The sequence below is a fragment of the Homo sapiens genome, chromosome 20 (genome assembly GCF_000001405.40).
Source record: "Homo sapiens chromosome 20, GRCh38.p14 Primary Assembly".
Taxonomy (NCBI): Eukaryota; Metazoa; Chordata; class Mammalia; order Primates; family Hominidae; genus Homo; species Homo sapiens.
Window position 1 is genome coordinate 15,091,259 of NC_000020.11, and position 24,360 is coordinate 15,115,618.

The window sequence follows — 24,360 nt, forward strand, 5'->3', positions numbered from 1 at the left end:
AGATTTGTTCCAAATCTTACTTTGGGGGAATCCAAACTAAGATGGGGATATGTATACAAAAAGGTTAGGGAAGGACTTAAAAAATAAAACCAAACAAAAAAAAAATGAAAAATAAAAGTTTTTATGTGATCCAACTAGGACAGTTAAGATAAATGAATGAAAATATTTTTTTTTTCCTTTAACTAAAACTGTTTAAAAAAGAGTTTAGGAAACATTGTTATTTACCGATTTTCTGGATTAGTGTTTTGTGAAGGAAAGGGAAACATCATGGGCACTTTTTTAAAGTAAGCTTCTGCAAACTGTAATGCTTTAAACCAAACCGCATGTTAACTGGAATAATGGGAACCCACGTCACTAAGAGACCCATTGCCTGGTTCTCTGTGGTTTCTTACCACAGTAGTTGTTTTTGAAAATAGGTGGTCTTTTTCAAAGAGCACTTATGTTATGTGTTGAAATAATGAAAAAGCTTCTGAAACACAATATGCATTTTTTAATCTAGTAATAAAGAAAGTAATGTGGCTGAATAATGCCTGGCTAGATTAGTTTTGACACTGTATTTGCTTTGTGTTCAACTTTATCTGGCAATGCATTATTCACTAGTACTATACACAGTGCTTTATTAAGTCTTAATCAAATGCATTTTATCATAAGTGTCAATTCAGTGCTTTGCCATTGTATTTATATGTTTTTAAATACTGAGTTCTTTGTAAGTGAACGACAAATACTTAGGCTGGAAAATAAGATTGTATTTCTGGTGCTTGGGAATGAGGTCATTGTGTATGCACAGAGTGGCTTTACATTCACACTAAAGTCATTTGGAAACAGATTATATTGCCGTTTCTTTTTTCTCCTAATAAAATGAAATGTAATTTTCTTCACCAATGTGAAAGCTAAGCTGGTTTGACCAATTGTGGCCATTTAAATAGGTTTGTAGAGCAAATAGATATAAATTAAAACTTTTGCTAGTAGATTTTTATTTAATAGATTTTGGACTAAATTTTCAAATGTGGGTTAACAATAAAAATTTATGCACAAACTGACAAGTGATTACAGGTACACACATTTTCAAATATAATTAATAATATGTTTAAGTATAATAAAACTATAATAAATTTTTATAAAGTATTCATTAAATAATTTTATTATAATTAAATATTTTCATTATAATTAAAATTTATATATTTATAACATTTTAAAATAATTTATAATTATAACAAAATGTTATAAATACAAGCTGGCCTTGGAAAGCTTCTTAGGTTTTTTTTATTTTCTAGGAAGGAAATGCTTACAAAATATACTATTAAGTTAAGATCTTAGACTTACTCTTCTGATAATATTGGAAAACTTCAGTTTAAAAAGTATTGTACAAATCCAACTTCAAGTTTCTTGATATTTCTTTTATCAAAACAGCAGCTATAGATTTGTAAAAGTTCTAGTATTTGGAGAAAAAATATAAATATTATAACCCTACAACATTAGTTTGGAGAAATCTGTTTATTCCACAGGTAAATGTATCTGTAAGACTAACAAAATTCATAATTTTTGATTTAAAAAATCAGCACATAAAAATAATTGCAGGGCTTTAAATGAGCACAGCATTAAGTTGGGCTGCTGTCTCTCTCCGAATAAGTGCTAAGTGAAGCAGGAATGTTTTAATGGCATGAGGCCCTACACACCAAAATGGCATTAGCCTCTGAGTAAATATCACTAGTTGGATAGAGTTTTATTCTACAAAGTAAATACTTAGGAAATTAAATATTAATTAGTACTTACATGTGCAATACTAAGAATAAAGTAGAATCTTCTTTACCCTAAAACAATATCCCACCATGCCACATAAATGACACTGAAGTGATTATTTGTAAAAACAAAAGCGAAATAAAATTATGATAATCTCCCCAAATTATCTCCCCACCAAAGATTATTGATTTTATTTATTTATGATTTTATTTTAGAAAATCGTGGTTTGTATAAAAGGGTCCCAGGTATATCTGGATGTTTTGATAGGAGTTTAGGGAATCCTAGAGGCTTCCACGCAGAATGGATTCCATGACCATTTTTCCATGAAACCATTTGAAACCACTAATGATTGGTGGGCCGGGGTCCTTTTCCATTGTCCTTTTGTGATATCTTGCACTTTTTCATTTTTATTTTTTCTTCTTTCTCATTTCTTTGCTCCAATGTTTAAATATTCCTGCCTTGTTAGCGTGTTTCATTTTCTTGGCCTATGAACTGCTCTACTCATAGGTAAAGCTTGGTCCGTTGTGAAAAGGCCTCAGTAACTTTTTAGGTTTGTTCTGATGGATTAATAAATATGTTTAAGCTTTTGAGATTAGTATTTATTTATTTAAAAAAGCTACCTCACTAATTTTGAGGAACACTGAATTAAATTCAAAGTTTTCTTTATTATGAAAATTCTCAGAACCTTTAATATTCATTCTAATATTCATTCTGATGACATATACTTCTAAGAGAGGGATATAGGATACAATTATTTCTGCATCTTATTTGCCCACAGAACCCCTTTTGTGTGGGTAGAGGGAGCAATGGAAAACTTTTATAGTACTTAGTCTGTGTCAGACACTGTTCTAAGTGCTTTACCTTATGAGGAGAAAAGGAAAAAACTTTTTTACAGATGCAGAAATTGTGTCGAGGGAAGCTCAGTGCCTTGCCCTCTGTCAACAGCCACCAAGGGATAGAGCCAGCTTATCACCTGGGCTTCTTTAGGATTGTCCATTGAAGGGTTGGTCAAACATGGTTGTCTGGTCCAATCTTTCTGTTGACCATTTAGTTAGTGAGTATCGTATATGTCAAAATGAATTCACATTAATTCTTGATGCAGACACAGCCATAACAAATAAATCACTTCCTTTAGACTTTAACTTTCAGCTGAAGTGTCAGTTAGATATATGTTGGCTTTGATTCCTCTTATTTGCCTTCTATGTCCAAATAACTTTAATGAATACAAAGCTTTATCAGATAATAATACTTTGATGTACTTATTTGCTCACTTTGCATAATTTGTAATATAGAAAAAAAATCTTCACATGCTATTTTTTCTTACAAAGTAATAAACCAGCTGTATTTATGAACCACCTATTATGAGCATGCATTTCCAGCAGCAGTCTCTCAGTAAAAGACTCAATCAAGTTAGAAAAAAATGTATTAGTAGAGGAATAAGGTTTTCCTTAAAATTATTTTTATACTTAAATATGTCAAGCCTGTAGTCTGTGTCCAAATATTTAAAGTTAAGTATTACCCATTTAAAAAACAAATTTGACTCTTGTATACTTAAAATAAATTCAACCACATAACTATTTTATTTTGAAGTTTTTATTTGTTTGTTTTTGGTTTTTTTGTTTTGTTTTTCCTTTCTATTAAGTTAGGACAAGAAACAAAAGCCTCCCATCAAAAGATAAGGTGAAAGCCTCCCATCCACGTTTCATGCTTGTTCTCCCTGTGTATTTTAAAATCTTTTTCTTTGTTTCTTAAAACTAAAACAAAATAAAAAACACAGGAACATTATTGAGATGCTATTTAGTAATATTAAGAATGTCCCTGTGTGTAAGGTTATTGATACTGGCATTTGTGAAATTAACATAGGGACATCAATGAGAGATCTATAACAGGAAAGATTATAGGCCTGGGAGGGAGAGATCTGGGTCAAGTTTTAGCTTCTTCCCTGAGTTTGTGTGTGACCCTGAGCAAGTCACTAAGGTCTCTGGGTCACACTTTCTTCAAAGACCTGTACAGTGAGACCATGGGAGTCAATCATTGTTATATCTTTTCACTGTGGTCTCCTCTTCTTTTTTTTTTTTTTTTTTTTTTTTTTTTTTTAGACAGAGTCTCGCTCTGTCGTCCAGGCTGGAGTGCAGTGATGTGATCTCGGCTCACTGCAAGCTCCGCCTCCCAGGTTCACGCCATTCTCCTGCCTCAGCCTCCCCAGTAGCTGGGATTACAGGCGCCCGCCACCACACCCGGCAATTTTTTGTATTTTTAGTAGAGATGGGGTTTCACCGTGTTAGCTAGGATGGTCTCAACCTCCAGACCTCGTGATCCACCCACTTCGGCCTCCCAAAGTGCTGGGATTACAGGTGTGAGCCACCACGCCCGGCCTGCTGTGGTCTCTAATGAGCCAGTTTAATGTTTCTTGAACCAACCTTTGCTGTTTAACACTTGCTTATCATGTTTTTAACAGGGATTTCTGACCTCTTTGTAGAAGATTTATAGTTTTTTGTTTTGTTTTGTGTTTTTTGTTTTGTTTTGTTTTGTTTTTTGAGACAGGGTCTTGCTCTGTAGCCCAGGCTGGAGTGCAGTGGCACAATCTCGGCTCACTGCAAGCTCCGCCTCCCGGGTTCACGCCATTCTCCTGCCTCAGCCTCCCGAGTAGCTGGGACTACAGGCATCTGCCACCACGCCTGGCTAATTTTTTGTATTTTTAGTAGAGATGGGGTTTTGCCGTGTTAGCCGGGATGGTCTCGATCTCCTGACCTCGTGATCCACCCACCTTGGCCTCCCGAAGTGCTGGGATTACAGGCGTGAGCCACCGTGCCCAGCCAGAAAGGTTCTTCAGTTCTTTATGTTTGAATAACACCATGTTGTTTGTGTGTGTGTGTGTGTGTGTGTGTGTGTGTCTGCAAGAGAAAGCAAAAGAGAGATTAAAATAGATTTAGAAAACAATCAGAATTGTGAGAATATAGAAGGGATTCACTAAAAGAATTTCTAATATCACTAAAATCCTCAGCTGATGTATCAATGAGTCTGTGATTAGCTAACAAAAGAGTGTTTTTCCCCCCAGGTGGACAATTTGGACTTTATGCAGGTGTGCAGTAGTAGAACCGTGAAGGTAGATACAATTAAAGTTCTGAGAAATGAAAAGACACTAGGCCACGAATAATGGAGCTTGCCAGTAGCAGCAGCTAGTAGATCCCTTTCTCCACGGGGCCAAAGAGTTTGATTTGATTTCCAGCTCTCAACTCCTACTCAAGGTGCAATCATCAGTCCCCTGCAGGGTACTCTAGGATTCTGGAGACATTAAGAAGCACAGAACGTGGCTGCATCCCTTTTTCCGAATGGGCTTTGGTGCAAGCAGTTCGTAAGTGGCTAGTAAGAATTTATTGTTCATGTATGTTTTTTCTCTTGGGAGTCTGTAATTATTTTAAAATATTAGCCATAAATCCCATGCTAATATATATATAAATATATATAAATACGTATTTATATATATAAATATATATAATATATGTTTTTTGTTTGTTCCTTTTTTTGAGACAGAGTCTTGCTCACTCTGTCGCCCAGGCTGGAGTACAGTGGCGTGATCTTGGCTCAGTGCAGCCTCCGCCTGCCAGGTTCAAGCAATTCTCCTGTCTCAGCCTTCTGAGTAGCTGAGACTATAGATGTGCACCACTGTGCCCAGCTAATTTTTATATTTTTAGTAGAAACAAGCTTTCACCATGTTGACCAGGCTGGTCTGGAGCTCCTGACGTCAAGTAATCCGCCTGCCTCGGCCTCCCAAAGTGCTGGGATTATAGGCGTGAGCCACTATGCTAATTTTTTTTTTTTTTTTTTTTTGAGTTGGAGTCTCACTCTGTTGCCCAGGCTAGAGTGCAGTGGCGTGATCTTGGCTCACTGAAACCTCCATCTCCTGGGTTCAAGCAATTATCTTACCTCAGCCTCCCAAGTAGAGGGAATTACAGGTGCTCGCCACCACGCCCAGTTAATTTTTGCATTTTTAGTAAAGACAGGGTTTCACCACATTGGCCAGGCTCGTCTCGAACTCCTGACCTCAGGTGATCTGCCCGCCTCGGCCTCCCAAAGTGCTTGGATTACAGGCATGAACCACTGTGCCCGGTGCTAATTTTTAAAAGTATTAATTTGCTTTTGCGAGACTCAATTGTATGCCAAAAATTACCTCAATATTTGACTTGGAGACTGTAGACCAAACTTGCATCATTATGGAAAAACAATATGCAAAATTTGGCCTTGGCATTGCCCAAAGTGTGGTATTTTGCATTGTACTATTTGTTTCTGTATGTCATGGAGTATGTATAGTAATAGGAAATGATGAGTATCTTTGCACAAAATGTAATGCTTTTACTAACATCTGTCAGCTATTTTGTGAGAATATTGCCAAAATATAACATTTATCTTGGTGTATAGTTCAATTTTGCTTTTGTGAGTGTTTCTTCTATTTTATTGCCACTAATATAGCATAACAGATGTCTTTCAGATGTGAAAAATCAATTATTTTTCAATATACCTCAGTAGTTATTAGGGCAGATTAATGTAAAGTACCGTAAGAGTAATGTCCAAATAAAATGTCATAAGTGAACAATACAATTCAATGGAGAAATAGGATTGAGTTGATCTTGGTACCTTTGTGGAAAACAGGGAGAAAAAAATGAACAAGTACAACAAAAATATGCAAGGCCATGCTTTGTTGAAAGATCAAGTAGATGCTTTAGTGATAGTATTTTCAGTGGAATGGTCAGCTGCCATGGAAAGTTAGGGCAAGGCCAAAACTGTTTATGCTTCATTTCTATCGACAAACACGTAGCTGGTTTCTAATGAAGATCAATAAAAGGTAATCTTGGGAATGGGTATTTCAGTATCCAGAAGTCTTTGCAGGAGAATATGAATTATGAAATTTATGAAAGCCTGAGTGTTACCTTTTGGATGCTGGTGTTTGGCAAGTTCATAACAATCTTTATGTTACTTATCACAAATGTTATTTGTTTTCTAAAATTTTGAATTTCAAGGCCTCAACACACTTGAGAGAGAGCTGCCAAATAAACTTAAACACTGTTCTACAGCAGAACCAGTATGCCCCTGGCACCTAGGTTTAGAGGGGCCTGGATCTGGTTTCATGGCACGAGATGCATGCAGTCACACAGAGCCCCATGCTTAGAAGGGACCAATATTAAATGCTTGATTTGATGCTCTGCTCCTACCATTCTGAAATTATTAATTTTTGAACAAAGGGTCTCACATTTTCATTTCATAGCAGGTCTCACAGATTATGCAGTGAGTCCTGAGGGAAGCCATGAAAGGATAGGGCTCTGTGATGATTCCAACCTTTCTCACCTGAATTTGGGTGGCGGCTCTGTAGCTGCTCTCCTCATAACAGTGTTCCTTTATTTCTGTATCCCTTACTCTGCCTACATTTTCATTCTGATATGGAGGACAGACCCTCTGGGATGCTAAGTTCTCTGAAAGGCCTGAAGTGTCCTCCATGCTTGACTTCAGGCACACGTAATGCCTTTGTTGGACATTTATGCCATGACTCACCTTCTTGCATAGTTATTCACTCCTCCAGCTCTAACACTATGCGAGGCATCATGCTTAGTGCCGTGAATAGAGTGGTGAATAAGATTTAGTCCTTGCTATCCTAAGATTATACTTTAGAAGGATAGACAACCAAGCCAATGGTCAAATAAAAGAAGTTATGATGGTGGTAGAACAGGGCTCACAGGAACATGAAGGAGGAGCACCTAAGGTGGTGATATCTAAATAGAGATCTAAGGTCTAACTGCAGGTAGATGTTTCCCCTTTGGGGGGAAATCAGAGAGTGTTCTAGAGAGGGAACAGCATGAGCCAAAGCTCAGAAGTGAAAAGCTGCCATCTTCAGGATAATTTTCTCCGTAGAAAATTGCACTACTAGTTACATTCAGAGTAGGTACTAGCCAGAGATTCATTTTAGAGACTTACAAGTTTGCCAGCAGTAAGCCTATGAATTAGTTAATGGTTTTGGCTGAGAGGCCACCACAGAATATCCTGCCTGTACTTTAACCAGATTTTTAATCACAAAGTTCATGTAATACATGTCTGAACTGGAACATGGACATCCATGGACACATTGAAAATTTCAGTTTAGTGCTTAGAAGCCCCAAACATTGTTGACTGGAGGAAAAAATGTTATATTAGTTAACAAAGGTATATACTGCTATGGAATGAATATTCGTGTGTCCTCAGCATTCATATATTGAAGCCCTAACCACTAAAGTGGTGGTATTTCAAGTTGGAGCCTTTGGGAGGTAATAGGTTTAGCTGAGGTTGTGAGGATGGGGCCCCATGATGGGATTAGTGCCCTTAGAAGAAGTGCCCTTATAAGAAGAGTAAAACAAGAAAAAAATCTCTCTCTCCACACACCTGCAACAAGGAGAGGCCATGTGAGTTCACAGTGAGAAGCTGACTGTCTATAAGTCAGGAAGACAGTCCTTGCCAAGAACCAAATCTGACAGCAATTTGATCTTGGATCCCTCAGCCTCCAGGACTGTGAGAAATAAATGTCTGTTGGTTGAGCTACCCAGTTTATGGTGTTTGGTTATAGCAGCCTGAGCCGACTGAGACAATAATCGGTACTGAGAAGTAGGCTGATGCTGTAAACAAACACCTAAAAATATGGAAGTGACTTTGGAAGGGGTGATGGACACAGGCGGGAAAAGTTTTGAGATCCATTCTAGAAAAAGCTGAGCTTGCCTTGAATGTTAAAGCCTACTGTGGTGAGAAATTAGAAAGAAGATAGGAGAGGTACAGAGAAAACTTCCTTCTTTGCAGAATACATAAATAATCACTAACAGAATGTTGATAGAAATATGGATGGTAAAGGCAATTCTGGTGAGGTCTCAGATGGAAATGAGAAACATGTTGTTGGAAACTGGAGGAGGGATGGTAGGATTGAAAAAAAAAATTCAAAAGAAAAAGAAAAAAAAAGAAATGGGAGGAAAGTAACCCTTGTTATAAAATTACAAAGAACTTGGCTGAATTCTGTTTGTGCTCTTGTGTTTTGTGACAGGTAGAACTTGCAAGTGATGACATTTGGATATTTATTTATTTTTCTTTCTCTCTTTCTTTTTTTAAATAGAGACAGGGTCTCGCCATGTTGCCCAGGTTGGTCTTGAACTCCTGGATTCAAGCAATCCTCCTGCCTTGGCCTCCCAAAATGCTGGGATCTGTAGCAGACTATAGATAGTTCCCAACTGATGATGGTTCACCTGATTTTTTTTCTTTATGATAGATTTGTTGAGGTATTAAATGCATTTTTGACTTATGATATTTTTGACTTATGATGAATTTGTTGAGGCACAAGCCTGTTGTAAGTTGAGGAGCACTTAAAATACATATCAGTATCTAATAGTGTCCCAAGAGTTTGAAGGATTCTTTTGTAGGGGGACCCAAAACTTTATCTTGGCTACAAATTATACAAGAAACTGGACTCCCGTACAACTGAAGTCCCTGTACAGTTGAGCACCTCAAATAGGCCAAGTACCACAGCTGGCCAACACAGAATACCACATAAGCAGAAAGTTATCTCTGTAGCTAAAATTCTTCATCTAACAAATGGCTTTCCAAGAGTTCATTTGAAGGAGAAGACAGAAGTAAGTAGTTGGCTAGGTTTTTTTGTGCCTTTGTAGTTGGATAAGCATTAGAAGTATTAAAGCCTAAGCCTTTCAAAGAGTTGATCTGCCTGGAACCTTCTGCAGATCAGAGCTCTGTGAAAGCAAATGCTGACTCATTAGCTGGGATGGTGTGAATTCCAGAATTATTGCTAACAAATCTATTTCCACTTAAAATATAAAAAAGAAAGCCATGAAATGAGAACTGACTTTCCCTTAGGCCTCTAACAGTGCTGTTTGGTTACATATTTTGAGAGGCAGAAAATGAGTGAAGAAAAAGAGCCACCAAGAAAGATTCTCTGCAGGTGAACAGGAAAAAAAGTAACTTATTACCTTGCTTGGTCCATAGCAGGTTTTTCATTTCCCTTTAAAATGTGAGAATTTGATGACTAAGATACTGCTATTACTGTTTTCACTGTAAATGAGTTGATGGAAAGAGCATGTTGCCTGATAGTAATCTTTCATGTGTATGTACAGGTACAGTAAGTTGATAAAAATAACTGCATTAAAAAGGTATTTAGAAAGTTCTGGCAGAGATAGTAAAATGGATATATCCAATTTTTTGTGCTCTATTTTTGTACCTGATGTAGTCTTCATCCATGGAGACTGAGCCCTTTTTGTTTTCTTGGAAATAAGGCATTTTATCTATTGAAATGATTCAATTTCCTATCAGTCTAGACTGTGATCTTACACAGTTTAGTTTAGTTCATCTGCAGATCCTTCTATTTTTGATTTATTTGAATCCATGAAAGTTAACATGCCATTGTAGAATGCCAGACTACTTTCCTCTCCCTTTTACATGTGATAGACTATAAAAATTATAGCTTAGGTTGATTATTGCTTACTGGGCAGTCCAGCACAGATAACCCAGGTGTTGGTTCAAAAAAAAAAAAAAGCATTCTGGAGTAATTGACAGCACTAAACATTTTGCTTTTCAGTGAAATTTAAGAGTTGGTGGTTGGAAGCTATTCATATACACAGCATCAGCAGGAAATCCCCAACTCTGGATTTTTAAGCATGAGGCTATTTTTATTTTTTCATTCCTATTTAAGACTATTTCAGAATACGAATTATAGACTCCTGGTTCTCACTTTGGAGTAATTTATAATCTTAGAAGATTATAAATATATAGATTTTCTAAAAGGTCTATCCAACATTGTATTATTTAAAGTATTGATTATTTAATATGAGGTTTATTAGTCTTTGGTTTTTTCCCTGCTAAAATTATTTCATTTATTTATTCGCTTTCTCCCTTAAGCAACTTGTGTTTATTAACTGCTGAATCTACTAGAATGTCTTCCTATAAGTATTAAGAGTCCTAGTAAAAATAACAACAAAATTCATAAACATGCACAAAATGCTCAAATCATAAGGTAAAGCACAAACAAAATAAGTTAAGCCACAGAAAGGCAGAAGATATTTGCAATGCATGGACAGGTGTTAATATTCAGAATACATAAAGAACAAACTAAGAATTAATTAAAAAATTAAACAATAGATAAAATTGATAAATACAGACAGGCAAATAAAAAATCCTAACAGCTCACAAATAAAGGAAAAACGTTCGATCTCATTAATGAGCAGGGAAATGTAAATTAAAAGCAAAATAAGTTATTTCACATAAAAAATCTAACTATATGAAATATTGCCAAGCATGTGAATAAAGAGGGACTCTCATGTCCCTGGAGAAAGTTTAACTAGTAGAAATCTTTTAGAGTATAATTTAATAATGTCCAGTAAATTTGAAGACACACAAATCCTTTAAGAGAGCAGTTCCACTCCCACATATATACTCTGGTATATATAGTAGTAGTGTTTCACTATCATAATCTTGCAACTTTGGGACCTGACATATTAGTTAGTCATGAAATCAATTTTTAATTGAGTAGAATAGAAAAGAGTGGGAAGTATCAGAGTGCATCATATGTAGTAAGAATAATAATTGTTTTGTAAAACAATATTTTCCAAAAATGTATGTGTATGTGTGTGCATGTGAACATGTACATTTATTTTAAAATGTATTGATTTCTGAGAATCATAGTCAAATATACTAGAAAAGCACTATTGTAGATAAACTCCCACGTGTGAAAATTGAGATATTTTGTTTATAATAGCAAAAAATTAGAAACAACCCAAATGTGGCAGGAGAAAGGATGAGAAAGGCATGATATCCCCATATAATAGACAGCTGTACACAGTGAAAATAGATGATCTGGAGTCCCATGTATTCATAGAAATGCATATCAAAAGCATAATTGTGAGTTTGCAAAAAAAAGCAAGTTGACCAAACTATTTACATTATGATGCCTTTATAAAATGTTTAAAACATACAGTGATATGTCTTATTTAGACATAAATATATGTTTAAATTTATTAAAATATGTACTTATACATGGGAATCATAAGCACAAAATTCAGCATTGTGAAGGAATTGTGAAAAGGGATTGTGAAGGAATACACAGATCTCAATTTATGTTCTGTTTCAGGAAAAAAACAAACAAAACAGAGGAATTATTTTCTCACATAGCAAGAAGTCTAGAGGCTTAGCCAAATTATCAAAGACCCAAGTTTCTTCCTTCTTTCCATTCTACCAGTCTCAGTAGGTTTTCTTCATAGTCACACGGTGGCTACTGAGGTTCCAGGTATTACATGTAGACTTGCCAAGTCCAGTAGTAGAAAAAGGGCCATTTTTTTTCATGTGTGGGTTTTTTGAAAAAAGTGAGCTTTTCCTAGACATCCCCAGTAGGTTGACCAGATGTGCCTAATATGCTTGTTCTTATATCAGACACTGACAAGCACAATGGGACCAACATGGTTGATGTATCCAAGTCACAGGGAAGGAGGTGAGGACACTGGAACATAATTAAAGCTCTACCAGTGAGAAGAAGAAAATTCTGTTGGACCATTAGTATTGGCTGTAAGTACCTCTATCTGCCTTAGGGATACAGAGGTGAACAGCACAAGCTCCTGAGTGAGTTCTAGTGGAGTTAAAATTCTAATGAAGAAGACTGATAATCAAGGACAGTTGAATAAGATGATTTTACATAGAGATAAATCCATGAAGAAGAGAAAACACCAGGATTTATGAGACAGCAATTGGAGAGTGACCTGGAAGCCCTCTCTGATCAGACGACATTTGAGCTGAGACCAGAATTGCATGAAGAAAGCAGCCGTGAGCAGAACTGAATAAAGGGAATCCAGGAAGAGCAAATGTGCTAGTGCAGGAATGAGGTTGTTGTGTCGGAAGTAAAAAGGAAGTTTGGTATACCTGGGGCAAAGGGAGAGAAATAGAGAATGGGTTACAATCAAGACTGTGAAGCAATCTGATTTACAGTTTTAAAAGATGGCTATCACACAAGTGATGGTGATGGCTTTTTCTAGGGTTGGGACAGTGGAGATAGGGGAGAAATGGACCTACTCATGTTGAAATAGTGAAGAGAAAGTCAAGTGTTAAAGAAGGCAATGTAAAGAATCAAAGATGAGCCCAGAGTAGCAGATGTGACAAGGTTTGATTTCAATAAAGTGGCTCTTGGGACGGAACTGAAAGACTAACCTAGACAGGGACGCCACTGTCCTGTGAGTAGACTCTTCCAGAAAGAAATAGTATGATAGTAGGATAAGTTCTTTGCATTTCCAGAGTTCAGCAAGGCATTCATTTATGCCTTGGTGAATATCCACAGCAAGCAGAGTCCTCTTTGCTCAATGTTCAGAATCCAACATATCAGGTCCTGTTTTCAGGACTTCCAGCCGTGAGGTAGAAAGTGCTTTAACGTATACTTGGTTAGCATGAACTGCTATAAACCCATAAACAAATTATGGACAGAAACATTGAAGACTGCAAAAAGATGGAATGGAAAGAAGATTGCCATCAAGGGCATACAAAATGACTGTGTTTGAATAAGTGCGTTTGATACTTCAGCAGGTAATTTGGACAGCCTTTGTGCTTGTCTGACTTCACTGGAATAGTCTACATACCTGCGGATCTCGTTGTTGATACGCCCATATTGCTTCCAGCGGGTGCTTTACTTACCTGCAGGACTGGGCTTTTTCTTTTCCTGCTATTACGCTCTAATCTCCTGTAGTTGCAGCCTCCATCTTGAATATGGGATTTAGATCATTAACTTTATATGCCATATTTAAAAAGCAATTTCAACCAATAGATATTAGCTATTAAAATAACTTCTTGGTTAGTAAATAGGCCCATTTAAAACTGCATTTTGATTTCTACATCTGAAAATGAAAGACCATAGTATTGTTTTATTTTATTTTTAAAAGTCCAGAAAAAAGGTGACTATACTATTCTTTTCCTTCTTAATCCATAAATGTGCACCAATATAACATTTATTGATCTGCATGCAGCGTATTGGTAAAAGATGAATTGTCCAAGTAAACTGAAGAAGACGCACAACATATAAGTATTATATAATATAGGTTTCTTTTAGTTGCAAGTGACAGGAAACACAATTTAAACTAAAAAGGAAATTTGTTCATGTGGAACTGGAAGGCCTAGGTGCAGCTGGATGCAGGGACTCAAATGATGTTTTTTTTCTCTCCAACTCAGCTTCTCTTCCTTGTCTTGGCTCTATTTGTAAATGGTTGTCCCTTTATGGTGACAAGACAGCTGAAGCAATTCTAGCCTTATGATCTCTCAGGTTCAACTCCTATTTTCAATATTCTGGACAAAATCTCCTTGCCTATCATTGCCTCTGGTTGCACCGTTCCTGAAATAACCTCTGTGAAAAGGGGAATAAAGTGCTCTGATTGGGTCAAATTCCTACAACCTCTTGAAGAGGGTATTGAATTCATTATATCCAAATATGGGGCCTAACAGTGGAGAAAGGGTGCTTTCCTAGTAGGGTATTGGGGTGCTGATACCAAAATAAATGAGAGTGAAAGCTGAGGAGTCAGGGAACATATGTGCCCTCTAACAGTGTTAGAGGCAGAAATGTTGCCATGTTTGGTTTCTAATAATTTGTCGAGGAAAAATTCTTGTCCTCTAAGATGATAAATCATTCAGGGAGCTTCTCAGTAGTTTGCTTCTGAACTCCCGGCACTAGAGGCAGGCCTGGACTTAGAGACAGCAGAAAGGGGTTGCCTACCCCATGCCACGTGCTTGACATAGACTATCTCATTGACTACTCACAAATATTTTATTAGTAGTCCTATCTTTTAAATGAAAAACAGCCTCAGGCAGGCTAAGGAACATGTCTAAGTTCATGCGACGACAATTGAACAGCGTGGTGCCTATAGGTAATAATGGGGTTCTGTACATTTCAGTATCACTATGAGAGTACATTTCTAATGTTCTCATCACAAAAAAGTTGTGTGATGCATAACACATAACATGAGGTGATGAATGTGTTACTTAGCTTAATTTAATCTTTTCATATTGCATTAAAATTATAACACTGCTTTGCACCCCATAAATACATACAACTATAATTTGTCAATATATAATATGCTTTTTAAAGTGCCATAGTCTGTATTTGAACTCAGGTCTTTCTGAGGGTAAAGCCCATAATCTCACCTTTATAGCATGCCACTGTCTTGCCAAACACAACTCTTAACTCACTTACTGGGTCAAGCTTTAATTTATTTATATGTGGTATTTCAATTTTGTGCCGTAAGCCTAGTGGCATCAATTTTAAGATGTAGGCTTTACACATATTGTAATGTAGGTGTTAACATTCTTTAAGAGTCTTAACAAGAAAATTATTAGTTTCTCGGTAAGCTTTCATTCCCCAAATATGTAGTGAATACCTATTCTGTATAAGAGGACAAGAGCAATATGAAATGATTGGCTATGCCATTCTGGGATGGTTTTATCATAATACTAAGAAAAAAATACTCTCCTGGCATTCCACTACAGTCCAATCCAGGCTTGAACCCTCAGAAGAAATTATGAATTGTGGAACACAGCAAACTACCTCCTCTGTGCAGGGCTAACCACTTCTCCCTTAAGATCCTCTCCTAGCGTGGAACAGCGTGGTATCTGCAGCCATCACCCCAGATAGTGGTTCTTGAGTTTGCATTGTTGATATGTCTTCTGGATAGTGCTGCCCTACAGAGAACCCATCTTGTTTTGTTCCCATTCACATTTCCAGGACAGAGCACTGCCCAGATACATGTTAGGTGCACAAATATATCTCTTGAATTACATTAAGTGCCCTATTACAGTGATCTGCCATAGATATTTGGTATAGCAACAGCATTGAACATTTAACCACTGGTAAAATTAATATGAAACACATTGTATTTTAGAAAGTATATATGCATTAAATATCACACCACACATACAAACACATATTATGTATCCCCTAATGTATGATTTATATGTATATAATATTTGACATCACAGATACACACAATCCTTTATATACCTTTATGTATATAGATTGTTCTGTAATTCATAACATTTAAGGCTTTTGGGATTTTGTTTTTAAACAAGTATTACAGCTTAAAACATTTCCTGGGGTTTGAATTCTCATTCCAGCATTTTATGGAACCATAAAATATGACCAGTTTACCTCTTCTACCTTTTCTAAACTTCTCCCTGCTTTATGACACTGAAAACAAACACACATATGAAATGAATTATGTTTAAATTTCTGGGCAACATTTTCTTAGCAAGCAACAAAAATATATAATTCTATTTTTCAGAAAGTAATTTAGTTCTAGGAAGCTGAGCTGACACATAACCAATTAATAGTTGAAAAAAAAAACTACCATTTGTTGTCAAGCTCTTTTAATTTTGCTAAAACTGGGTTTGCAAAAGGATATTGAGAAAACATTGACTGTAAATCCTTAATTCCCATTTTCAAAACCTTGTGATAATGAATAATTCTTTATGATTTCTTCAACAAGTAACATACTCATCGTCTTTATGCTTCCTATCTTTTTTTTTTTTCAATCCAGAAGTGTGATCATGACAAAAGTCTATGCCAGGAATATGTCGATCTGACTTAATGCTTTCTGAGACTGTTGTTTCTCTCCCTGATTTTTGATACTTTTACAGAGATAATAGCTACTTCCTAATCTGTTTTTTACTTCCTTGTTTCCATTTTATGTTTCAATGAAACAGCAGAATACATTACTTCATCTTAATTTTCCTACTTACCTGTGTTTGTTGTTGTTGTTTTAATGTGATAGAATGTGGGATTTTTACTGTTTGGAATAGCAAGAGAGCTACAGATGAACAAATGGAGGCTAATAGATAATAAAAGACTTTTCCAAAGACATGGACTAATTGGTGCCCAGGTTCAGCTTGCAGGATTTCAGAAACAGCGGTGAGTTAAGTCAGCAAGTCCTATGGACTCTTGAGAGCAAGCTCTTTTTTTTTTTTTTTACATTTTTTTATTATTTTTTTAAAAATCAATCACTTACTAGAAGGCAGTAGAGGCTATTGGTTAAGAGCACAGACTTTGGACTCAAACAAGCTATCCTTGGAATTTAATTCTGCTGCCTCCCTTCTTAGCTATGTGATACTGGGGTAAGTCACTTAACTTCCCAGTGTGCTTCCTGTTTCCATCTGATAAGTTATGGTGACATTACTGAGCTCTTAGAGTTTAGGTAAAGATTGTATGTAGTACAGCCTGGCTCATACTAAGCAATGAATAAAGGGTGGCTAATGCTGGTTTTTATTACTATATTTTCTTCTTATACTTTGACAAGCATTAATAGAGTAAGTAAGCATGGCTATATGGAACTCAATAACTTGGAAAGCATGATGATGGATGACACTTTTTATGCTTCTATTTTAGCCAAAACAACTGTTTACATATCCTGTGGATTATTTAAGCACATGCCACATTGCTACAACTCATGGAGTGGCCTTATTCTATACCTAATGATAGCTGGCCTGGCCATGCCTCATTTCACTGCCGATTTCCTTCTAGATACTCCTAGAATCCACTTATTCTCCATTTTTACTGCCACTAATCTAGTTCAGAGTTTTTATCATTTTTCACTGGTTCTACTACACCATCTTATTGAATATCTTTTTGTTTAGCAAGGATATTAAATCTATTACCTTTATTTTGAACCAGAGAATTTTTTTGAAGCACAATTCAAATGATGTAATGCTCTTGGTAAATCTCTTTCACAGAACCCCAAACTCCCTCAGAGAAGAGTGATAGTCTCACCATGATGGGTCTTTTTCTGTCCTTCTCTGTGTCTGTAAGATAGGGCAGAGGAGGAAAGTGAGGGTCAGGAAAGTTAGATAATTAGCCTGAAATTACACAACTAGTGAGTGACAGAACAAGGACCCCATGCCAGATGTGTCTGTTCCACAGTCCAGATCTGCACAGTTATTACCACAGTTATTACATAGATCAAGGATCAGCCAACTAAAGCCTGTGGGCCAAAGGAATCCCACTCCCTGTTTTGTTAATAAAGGTTGATTGACATTCAGCCACACCCATTCACTTTCATATTGCCTATGGCTTCTTTTATGCTTCAACAGAGTTGAGTGGTCATGACAGAGACCATCTGGTTCACAGTCAAAAATATTTACTATATGGTCCTTTATAGAAAAAACATTGCTGGCACTTGACATAGAACATACTTGGATTCAAAAGAGTAAAAGTGATAGATTCCTGGATGTTCACCGTGAGGAACTCTGTGATCAGAGTCGTCTGAAACTTTAATGAGGTGGATGAAATGTCGCTTTAACAACCAGAAGAATTACTCAAGTAGTAAGACCTAAATATACTAAGAGATTTTAATTACCTAGATATCTATTGGGAAAACATCTTGACAGGATGCAGATTGTCCAATCAGTTATTTTTAAAGGGTTGCTGACAGTGCTTAATGTGGAAGAGGTAGGAAGCTAAAGAGATGGCAGGGCTCCTCCACCTGACTGTGCCCCAGAAAGAAAAGACGATTGCAAACAAAATGGGATATGTCATTTGTAGAGGCAGGTACTGTGAAATAAATGGCAGAATTCACAGTGCTAAGGTAGGGGATTAGAAAAAGCAGCTGAACAAATAAAACGAATCTTAAGAAAGTAACCTTGAGTACAAAATGTTCTGAGCCCAAAACAACTGCATATATGCATAAATACGTGCACAATCACCTGTTGAATGCGCTCAGGAACTTTGCAGTTGACCTACTTGGAGGGGAAAAATCGGCATACTCAATCATTCAGAAAAGTCAAGCATTTGTTTAAATCAAATATGCCAAAATTCCAAAAAGAATTTAGCATGAATAATATTTTTCACAAAGGCGAAAAGCCTTCTCGTTCTCTGGGAGCCGTTTTGTATTTGGGAGATTGGAGAGCAAAAAGGCAAGTGCCGTTTGTGATAATAGGTTCTCGGAGGGCAGAAATAAATTATGTTCAGAATGTACAAGGAACATGATGATGGTTAAGCCCTTAGACTGTATGTAGTTGTCCTGCTAGAGAACTCAAAGTATGGAAAATTACAAAATACCATTCTAAGTGGTCTAGTGAGTGAGTGCAGCTTCCAAGTGCTATCATTTAATTTACTTTCAGGGAGTAATGTGTGTGCCCTGGGTTTGTCTTGTCAATGCTCCTGTGCAGTGGTGCCCAAGGAGAGGCCAGAAAGAACTTGAGGAGATCTGTTGGTTCCTTTGGATGAAGAAATGAAATAGACCATTTTTTCCTTGGTTTCCTCAATCATGTTTAATTAACTTTTGTCAAGGGCCTGCCGGGTGCCCTGCACTGGAATTGGGGACATCAAGATGAGTAAAGATCTATGTGCGGGAGAAAAGGCAAAATCAAATTATTGTCATACAATTTGATGAATTAATTCTAATACTAGAGGCAATACTTGGGCCAGAGGCTGGGTGAAGGGAGAGAGAAGATGAAAGACAGAAGCAGGAAGGAGAGGTTTAGAAATAGGGCAAAGTCACAGCATCTGTGTGACCAGACTCCTGTCCTCAAAGTAAGTGTTTGTGAATACTGGGCTATTTATATTTCCATATATTTTGTGGAAAACCAAAAAGTATGATGGCAGTCTTGTGGCATGTTCTTGCCCTTCACGCAGTACATGCAACAGAAGGAAATATGAGGACATAACATGTGGCCAGATTCTCCTTCTGCGAGGGACTATGCGTGTCTCTGAACATGGAGAGGAGAGGCCTCCATCAACCCTCCTGTGCACTTTCCAGCAGCTTGTAGTTGGGTTTGAGTGACAAATGCACCTCCCTAGGTCTGAGAGCCAGTTACATTGCTGCCACCAATACTCAAACTCCATTGGCTTTCTTAGTAGCATATACCATTTTTCTAAGAAAACAACCACCATTTATTGATTACTTACTATGTGCTGGACACTGTGCTCAGCACCTGCATCCAATACTTATTTAATCCTCACAATTATTCTGTGAAGTAAGAGTCATTTTACCCATTTTTGAGAATATGAAGTCACAGAGCCACAGAGTATTGAAATAACTTTCTCAAAGTCACTTGGCAATGTATCTGACTCACACATATAATCAATCTTAAGTCTGCTGTATTTCAGATATTTTTTACTTCCGTAGTGTTTTTTGTTTGTTTGTTTTTGTTTGTTTTTTTTTTTTTGCGACGGAGTCTCACTCTGTTGCCCAGGTTGGGGTGCAGTGGCGCAATCTCGGCTCACTGCAAACTCTGCCACCTGGGTTCAAGTGATTCTCCTGCCTTAGCCTCCCAAGCAGCTGGGATTACAGGTGCCTGCCACTGCACCTGGCTAATTGTTGTAGTTTTAGTAGAGATGGGTTTCACCATGTTGGCCAGGCTGGTCTTGATCTCTTGACCTCATGATCCACCCACCTTGGCCTCCCAAAGTGCTGGGATTACAGGGGTGAGCCACTGCGCCTGGCCCTCTAGTGTGTTTTCTATTATTATTTTTAAATATAGTACTTAAAACTTATTTAAAAGTTCTATGGTTGAGGCAAATCCATAATAACTACTGCAGAGTTTGAATGCTGGAATATTAGAATATTAGAATATTCTGGGTCTAGAATATGTTTGGTCCTTTCCAGGCCTGAAGGGAAGACAGTTTCCATTTTCATTATGCACTTTGGAAGATGCCAGAGAAATTAGGTGGGCATCACATACAAGTATCACTGTTTTCACTGTAGCTTTTGTTTTAGAGAGGACAACTTGTAAAACTTTCAGTGAACTTAGGCAAGGAGCAAGCCAACCCTGGCAGGGCAGGCCCTCTCTGCAGGAAACCCCTAACTGGGAGGTGCCCAGCTCTGGCAAGTCTTTGAACTGTCAGATGCCAGGTGCTGTTAGGGCACCTCCACTCAGCCCCTGCCTAATGCAAGCTCTTGAAAACTCAGAGATAGCTTCCTCCTTCATTAGCATTTGTGCTCTGTACTGAACACAGGTCAAAGGGAGATGTTAAAATACACCCCAGAGTTCACAGGGCCAGGATTTGACCCTATTGAAACCTGATAAATACCACCCCTCTATTGTTCTCTGGGTGGAATCTGGCACCAGGGTGAGAACTGGGATATGACTGAAAGATTTTGTTTTATTGCTATCTTAGTCTATTCATTGTTGCAGAGACCCTGACAGGATTTCTCTTATCTGTGATTTGACAAAATATATCTTCTTAATCATTGCACGGTTGATGTTAAGAGGGTTCAGAAGTATAAAAGGAAGGAACTTGGCTTAGAAATAAAGCATTGAGGGACTTTAAAATTAGGCCACTGGATAGACCTATTAGCCTTTAAAGAGGCTGAGAAATTTTGATGAAGGCTGGGCCTCTGAAACGGGCAACTCTTCTAATTTTAATAATGCATTTGAAATTATTCTTATCACTTAGTGAATTCTTATTTGATTGCCTTGAGGCCTTTTTCAAGTTTCAGATTTTAATTCCTCACTACTCCATTAGGAAGGTTGGTCATTTTATGTTCATTTTACTGTTAAGAAAGAAAAAAATGCAGTGAGATCGTACAACTAAGAAATGGTAAAACCCAGACTGGAACTCAGTAAATTTGATATCAAGCCCTGTGATCTTAAAAAAAGTTACTGTGGTTAAACACGTATAACAAAAATTTCCCATTTTATTCAATTTTAAGTGTGCAGTTTGTGGCATCAAGTACATTCACACGGTAGTGCGGCCACCACCATCTGTCTCTAGAACTTCTGTCTTCCTAAACTAAAATTCTGTACTCATTAAGCAGTAACTCTTCCTTAATCTCTCCACCTATCCCCTGGATACTACCATTCTGCTTTCTGTCTCTATGAATTTAACTGTTCTAGGTATGTCATATAAGTGGAATCATTATATCTGTCCATGTTGTAGCATGTGTCAGAATTTCCTTTTTTTTCCAGGCTGGATAATATTTCACTGTGTGTGTGTGTGTGTGTGTGTGTGTGTGTTTGTGTGTGTATTTATATCACATTTTGCTTATCCATTCATCTATCAATGAACACTTCAGTTGTTCCTTCTGGCTATTGCCAGTGTTTCTATGAACATGAGTGTACAGATATCTGTTTGAGCTCCTGCTTTCAATTCTTTTGAGTATATGCCCAGAAGTGGAATTGATGAATCATATAATAACTCTATTTTTAACTTTTTGAGGAAATGCAATACATTTTTTTTCCCAAAGCAGCAACACCTTTTACATTTCTGTGCTTTTTTTGTCCATATCTAAGTTGCCTTGGAATGATGAACTAGCTGAGAAAATAGCACTGCTGGTGTAACAATGCCATATGTAGCTGATCTGATGCTTTTATTGTGTATTGGTTTAACACACATGTATGTCATATGGTTCATGAGCATTTACAAATGATATGCTTCCTCTGCTGCTTAAAAGTCATATTGAATAAAGGGGCATGTTTAACTTTTTCAGAACACTTGAAATATGATGAAATGTCAGTGTTTTTGAGGCGTCAAAACAAATGACATAATGTCAGTATTTAGAAACTCAACTATGTGTAAAACAAGTTGCTTTTGTTTTCCACCAGGCACACCACAGCATGTTTAATGATGGATATTATTGTTGTGAATTGTATCTAATCTGCTCCAGACTCAGAAAGCCTCCAACACAAAGTGTCATTTGTTCATCACTTTGTGGGTTTTGCCTGTTTCTTACATACAAAGGTTCACTAGGAGTTGAACAAAAAACTTAAAGATAGGTATGGGGTTGTGTAGTCTTGAAGTGTGTGTGTGTGTGTGTGTGTGTGTGTGTGTGTGTGCTGGAGGGGTTTTTCAGCTGTTCTTTTTATTTTTATGGAACAGGATATCTCCAGATGATTTCATTTGAAGGGGGAAAGCTCCAAATTATTCCAAATGGGATGATTCCATTTGGAGATCTTTCCTCTTGCTTCAGGACTGCTAGTATAATTCCCAGAGAAGCATAAGAAGGCCACAGCTATGCCTAAAGGAGTTAAAGCTGGTGCCTAATCTTTGAAGTCTGGCAGGCCTACCTCCACCCCAAAGTCAGTGGTCACCGCTATCCAAGGATTCATCAAATTGTGACTCACAGGGTGGAGAAGGCTGGCTTTGAGAGAGGTGAATGTGCATCTTCCTCAGGACCACAGTTGTGGGGTTAGCTGTCCTGCATCAGACCTCTGTCTCATTTTCATGATGAACATCAATGTGGTAGACACACCGTAACCTGACCCAGAATGAGCAGGGCTCTTTTGTAGTCCCCTCCTCTTGAGTTTGGGCAAAACCCATGACTTGCTGCTAGTTAATAGAATATGGCAAAGGTCATGGGATAGTCACTCTTGATTAGGTTATGTTGCATAAGACTTCATCTTAGCCAGCTGGAAGAGAGATTCTTTTGTTGGTCTTGAAGCTGCCATATTATGAGAGGGGGATGCCAAGGAATGGGCCACCTAAGGAGGTGAGAGTAGTTCTTGGTTGGTAGCCAACAAGAAAGTGAGGACATCAGTCAGTCTTAACAACCACAAAGGACTCTTATTGACAGTCATGTGAGCCTGGAAGAGAACTCCAAGCTCCAAAAAGGAACACAGCTTGGCTGACACTTTGATTGAATCCAATTAAGCCATGCCCAGACTTCTGATCCATGGAAACCAAGACATACAAAATGTATTTTTCTAAGTTTCTATATTTGTGGTCATTTGTCACCTAGCAATAGAAAACTAATACAATCAAGCACACCTTTAATGTTACCTTCTCTTTCCCTGCTTGTTCCTTTCATTTTTATTTTGCCTTTTTACCTGTTTTCTTGTTCTGTGGATTCTGTCTGATGAGACCATCAATCAAGATGCCCTGGTTTCCCCCAGTGAGGAGAAAAACACATGACCCAAACTAGGCCAATCAGATCTTTCTCTCCAGGAATCCAAATCTTAAGAAGAATGAAAAAGAGGCTGTATGTGTTTGGAGCTGACTGATCCCAGCAGTGTTGCCCTGAAACACTCTTGCTACCAATTCTCCTAGAGAGTTCCTGCCACCTATCTTTGCCAATTCCTATTCCCTAACTTCCTTTTTTATTCTGTGAGCTCCACTAGATTCTTCAAATGAATTCCTCTTCTGCTGAAATTAATCAGAATCTATTCTATTTGTTGCAGTCAAAAAATTCCTATTGATACATAGAGCCCTGTTGTAATCACCTCATACATTTTTTTGTCTCTCTGGGTTGTATTATGGTCTTTTTTCTTTCTTTTTAAACTTCTTTTGACGGGGTCTCACTTTGTTGCCCAGGCTGGAGTGCAGTGGCACTATCTTGGCTCACTGCTGTCTCCCTCCCTTGGGTTCAAGTGATTCTCCTGCCTCAGACTCCCAAGTAGCTGGGACAACAGGTGTGCACCACCATGCCCAGCTAATTTTTTTTGTAGAGATGGGGTCTTCCTATGTTGCCAAGGCTAGTCTTGAACTCCTGGCCTCAAGTGATCCTCCCAACTCAGCCTCCCAAAACACTGTGATTACAGGTATTAGCCACTATATCCAGCCTATTGTCTTCTTTCTAAAAGATTTTTCTCATCACTAAGTGTTACCCAAACATGCAGGGTTTCAAGGTAATTCTTGATAGGATTTTAGAATCAGAA

The 24,360-nt window shown here is 37.5% G+C and overlaps 1 protein-coding gene across 3 annotated transcripts in view, besides 1 other annotated feature; it reads left to right on the forward strand.

Moving 5' to 3' along the window:
- Positions 1–24,360, forward strand: part of MACROD2 (mono-ADP ribosylhydrolase 2) — a 2,057,682-nt gene that overhangs the window by 1,095,743 nt on the left and 937,579 nt on the right. The window lies entirely within an intron of this gene.
- Positions 21,083–21,252: an enhancer, noted in NCBI's record as "experimental_59643 CRE fragment used in MPRA reporter constructs". NCBI's record gives its function as "activates a minimal promoter by MPRAs in K562 erythroleukemia cells, with activity observed for the non-introgressed 20:15093072 variant allele {active_cell/tissue: K562}" and the evidence as "EXISTENCE:reporter gene assay evidence [ECO:0000049][PMID:34662402]".